The 4,985-nt window shown below is 41.4% G+C and overlaps 1 pseudogene, besides 1 other annotated feature; it reads left to right on the forward strand.

Annotated features, from left to right (window-relative positions):
- Positions 1,173-1,990: an enhancer, noted in NCBI's record as "OCT4-NANOG-H3K27ac-H3K4me1 hESC enhancer chr13:60052665-60053482 (GRCh37/hg19 assembly coordinates)". NCBI's record gives its function as "activates a minimal SCP1, AML or CMV promoter by ChIP-STARR-seq in naive H9 embryonic stem cells {active_cell/tissue: H9 hESC(naive)}" and the evidence as "EXISTENCE:reporter gene assay evidence [ECO:0000049][PMID:30033119]".
- RNU7-88P (RNA, U7 small nuclear 88 pseudogene) lies at positions 2,712-2,774 on the forward strand (annotated as a pseudogene).

Genomic DNA, 4,985 nt, shown 5'->3' on the forward strand with positions numbered 1-4,985 from the left:
AATACATATTTGGTCCGTATTCTCATTTCTGACACACAGCTCCTAAAATCCTAGTAATTTCCTAAGTGATAAGAGTTACGGAAGTATCTTTGGTTATAATATTTGGTCTTTTGTCCCAGGTTCCTAAAATAGCTCCAGAGTGTTTCTTGTTATGCATACCAAGCCCCTTTCAACCACACCCAAGTTTATATTAATGAGGTGATTTTTCAAAAGCCCCTAGAAAATCACTGGATGGGGGCTAGATGCCAGAGGAATTAATCATGTGATTAGAAGGTTGGAACTTTACCCCTAACCTCCGAGGGGCAAGGAGCTGAAGCCTGAATTGATCATCACTGGTCAATAATTTCATCAATCATGCCTACAGAATGAAATGTCTATGAAAACTCAAAAGGACAGGGTTTAGAGAACTTCTGGGTTGGTGATTAAGGAGGATGACATGCCCAGAGTGGGCATGGAAGCTCTGTGTTCCTTCCTTCATGCCTTGTCCTTTGCATCTCTTCCATTTAGCTGTTCTTGAGTTAACTGGTAAATGTAAATAAATGTTTTCCTGAGTTTTGTGAGCCATTCTAGCAAATTATCAAACCCAAGGAGGATGTCACAGGACCCTCTGATTTATAACCAGCCAGTCAGAAACACAGGTGACAACCTGGACCTGTCAGCGGCCTGAAGTAGAGGCCGTTTTTTTTGTTTTGTTTTGTTTTGTTTGTTTTTTTGAGACGGAGTTTCGCTCTGTCGCCCAGGCTGGAGCGCAGTGGCACAATCTCGGCTCACAGCAAGCTCCACCTCCCAGGTTCACGCCATTCTCCTGCCTCAGCCTCCCGAGTAGCTGGGACTACAGGCGCCCACCACCACGCCCAGGTAATTTTTTGTATTTTTAGTAGAGATGGGGTTTCACCGTGTTAGCCAGGATGGTCTCCATCTCCTGACCCTGTGATCTGTCCGCCTCGGCCTCCCAAACTGCTGGGATTACAGGCGTGAGCCACCACACCTGGCCAGTCTTATGGGACTGATCCCGTAACCTGTGGGATTTGATGCTATCTCCAAGTAGATCGTGTCAGAATTGACTTAAATTGTAGGACACACAGTTGGTGTCTACAGAGAATTGGAGAATTGCCTGGTGTGGAAAACCCACACATCTGGTGTCAGAAGTAAAGTATTGAGGGTAGTAGAGAGTAGAGGAAAAAAAAAAAACAGTTTTCCTTTAGTTGGTGGAGAGAAGGAAATAGTTTTCCCTTACAGCCCTGAAAGATTGGCTGGTGACATGCGAGAGCTCTGATTGCAATAACATTCACCATTATTTGTTGATACACATTCTTCCATTTAATCTTAATACTCCTTCAAAGCGGTATGATTACCCCATTAAAAGATGAGAAAACCGAGAATCAAACTGGCTAACTAATTTGTTCAAGATGACAAAGTTACCACATTGCAGCACTAAAATTAGAGCCCAGGTCACTCTGATTCAAAAAGCTTATTCATTAATACTGCCCAGCTAGGAATATCTGTCCAGCTTCTAGGAATGGACCTTCAATTCTATCATCCCACCTAAATCTGAAAAGGTAGCACATTTCATGATTCTTCCAGCAGGGCAAAGCAAGGCTAATTTTAGAAGTCTAATGAGAAAGGATTAAGGTACTTCCTGTTAGACAGTCAACACGAGTGGCTCTCATTAGCAACAATAAAAACCCAGCTTGTACGGTCGGTCGGCAAAAGTAGCAGCCTCCGCTTTCTTTTGTGATTCTCAGCTGGGTTGCCCCTTTAAGAAGCTTAGCCCACATAGTCACATTCACAGATCTTCTAAGTCAAAATCTCTTTTAAAAACACCCAGGAGCGATCCCTAACTACCAAGGAGTAAGACATCCTTTCAGGAAAGAACGTTGAAGAGATTTATCTGAATGTCAGCAAGTTTCACCCAGTCAAGAGAAATCCATCTAGAAAAGAGATTTTATACAATTTGTGAATTTTATTCAATTCAACTTTTATTTATAGTTGCTCTATGTAGGAATTGTGCAGAATGCGGCAGAAGAAGGTAAAATGTACAGAATGGGATGTTCTCCACCGGAGGTTCACAGTTCATTGGTAGAGACAGATACACATCCAATATGTACAGTCCAGCAGACAGTACTAAGTTGGAAAATTGATTTCCAACCAAAATGCAAGAGGAGAACAAGAGAGGGAGACAGTGTTTCTGATTGTTGGGCAGGGTAGAGACAAATCTGAGAAAAGCTTGTGGAGAGTATGGGCTCTGTGGATAGAGGCAAGTAAGATGTGGATGAATACTAGCATCCCAAAAGCATAGAAGCAGAGGTTGTGCAGGTATCTGGAAAAACAATAATGTCCTGGGAAGGCCAGAGAGTAGAGGGACAGGCCCATCCTGTAGACCCACGCCACTCAAAGTGAGGTCAAAGCCAGAGCATCCTCGGAAACACCTGGAAACTTCAACATACAAAAAGCCCAGGCGCCACCCTGGACCAAATGCATCAGAATCTGCATTTTTACAAGATCCCCAGGTGACTCATATGCACATGAATGTTTGAGAAACATTGCTGCAGACAATGGGGAGCCATTGGAGGTCCCTGGGTGAGAGGAGTAATCTCTTCTTAAATGTGCTTGGGAAATGCAACTTTAGGAAGCACAGTAGAGGGCACACAGAATGACCAAATGAATGAACAGTTATTCAACCAACAAAGTCTTTTGAAAATATGAATGTTAAGTGTTACAGCTCTTTTAGAATTGGTCTAGCAGGTTTTCTGGTTTGCACTAGAAAAACCATAGAAAGTGAAAATAGAAAATAATATGAATAGTCCTCTATTGGAAGGATGATTAATAAATGATACCCCTGTACTCATAGCTCCATCATATTTGACTGTAAGGTAATTAGGATATTAATTTTTAAATGCAATTTATTCATCAGATGGGAGGATAAGGAAGTAAAATCAGGTTGTGGCCAAAAATAACAGTTTTCACTTTAGTTCACTATCTGGAATCTATGTAACCATACTGTTTGATTTTAGATTGTTCAATTTTTTTAATACTCTCTGAAATCTGATGGCCAAGGACCCTGTAATCCAAGATAAGATTGATCAGGCTGGCCCAGCGCCCTAATTCCAAAATACTCTCTAGCAACTCATACACTCTCCCCCATTCCCCAAACACCCATTTTGAGATAGCCAGGATAATTTTCTTCATTTCCTGCCCAGACAGCTGTGGAATGTTGTAATTCATTGTTAGGCAGCTGCAGCAATCCTCCTTAGAAAAGGATACATCTTGTCAAGGATACGGTTATTCTCAAATTTTGAGTTTATTTTTTAAACAGTGATGTACCCACCAAATGTAGAAATAGTCAAGCCTGAGAAACCTCAAAGGGAGGCTGGATCTAACATACGCATCCCTGCTTAGAGGTCAGTGCTACAAATACCCTCACCAGGTTGCCTGTAATCTCACTGCTTCAGCAAACAGTCCAACCCACTCGTGTTGGAAAATCCTCTGGACTCCTGAAAATAACTCCTTCCTGGCTGAGTAAACCTTAACCCTCTCCTACAAGCCGATAGGAAAATGCAGCACATCTAGAAGGTGAAGAGTAGCAGATTTTCATCCTCAATTATCTCCTCCCTCCACATCCATAAAAACAGCCCTGCTATCTAATGATCTTTACTATAAAACTGGGGAGAGGAGAGCAAAACGAGATTAAAATCTCTCCACACTGTGTGAGTGTGTGTGCATGTAAGAGGGTGTGTGTGTATGTGTGTAGCTCTGTGGGAGGGAGACAGAGACAATCACATAAAAATTGAAAATTACCCCAGATGACAATAAAATAGAAGAGACAGAAGACTCCAGGGAGCAGCAATGATTAGAGTGAGTAGGAGTGTCGTGTGAAGGCTAAGAGGTTAGACTATTTGGGAAATGTGGGGTATTAGATCAAGGAAGGTCTGTTACTATACCATGTCCTATAATTTAGATATTGCAAATCACAAACAGGATAAATATGAAGGAAGCTTTCCTACTCTTAACATGGCTGCTTCTGCTTTCATAATAACCTCTCATTTGGTACAATTTTAATTTTTTAAGGCACCTTAGAGTTGGCAAAATGGATCCAGAGGCAATTAAAGTCCCTCTAGTTTCTTTTGTGAAATTGGTGTTTAATAGCTATTTGGGGAGTTTCTCCCAATAAAAATCCCATCTTTCCCCATTTCTATTTCAGAATTTCCAATAATCATTAAATTTTGTTGGACAAGTTCAAGTAAAGCTATTTTATCACTTCATAAAACCAGTCACAAAACTCTCTTCCAAGGTAGAGAGGAGACAGAGTCTTTGTCCATCAACACAGCCTGGAGATCTACAGAAAGTAGGCAGCAAAGGTCAACCGGCCTCACTCAATCAACAGACCTCTCTGACTACCTTTGCACAGCTACTACCTATCATGCACCTTGCTAGGTAGTGGCTACAAGAGGACAAATAAGGCATAAACTCTATCTCACACAGCTGATGTATTTACGAGGGAGACAATTAAAGAAAGAATAATCATAATACAGATTTATTAATATAACAGGGGCAGCTACCTACTGAGGGTCAGGAATGGCTTCCTGACCAACTAGGGGAAAATGTCCCTCCAAGAGTTCATTCTTAGAAGTTATTTCGGATGCAGGTTTTGGTAGACCTGGATATGCTTAGTCAGGGTTAACCAGCTTTAAGAGTTTATAGTTTGACTAAGGAATTTAAGTAGAATGATGAGGGACACACACAAAACAAGTTATTATGGAACCACATTACCAAATTCAAAGAAGCTTAAAATCTGACATGAAGACGAACTCATTGGCCCCCTTAGAAAATCCTCATGTACTAAGTACATTGTAGGCAATCTGTAGTTGGTTTATTGGGGAAGTCTTACTAGTCAGGAATGCATCACCATCAAGCAGCTTGGAACAAGCAAGGACTCCAGAGCTGGACTGACTAGGTTTGAAGCCTGGTTCTCCCATTTACTGGAT

This window comes from Homo sapiens, chromosome 13 (genome assembly GCF_000001405.40).
Source record: "Homo sapiens chromosome 13, GRCh38.p14 Primary Assembly".
Lineage (NCBI taxonomy): Eukaryota > Metazoa > Chordata > Mammalia > Primates > Hominidae > Homo > Homo sapiens.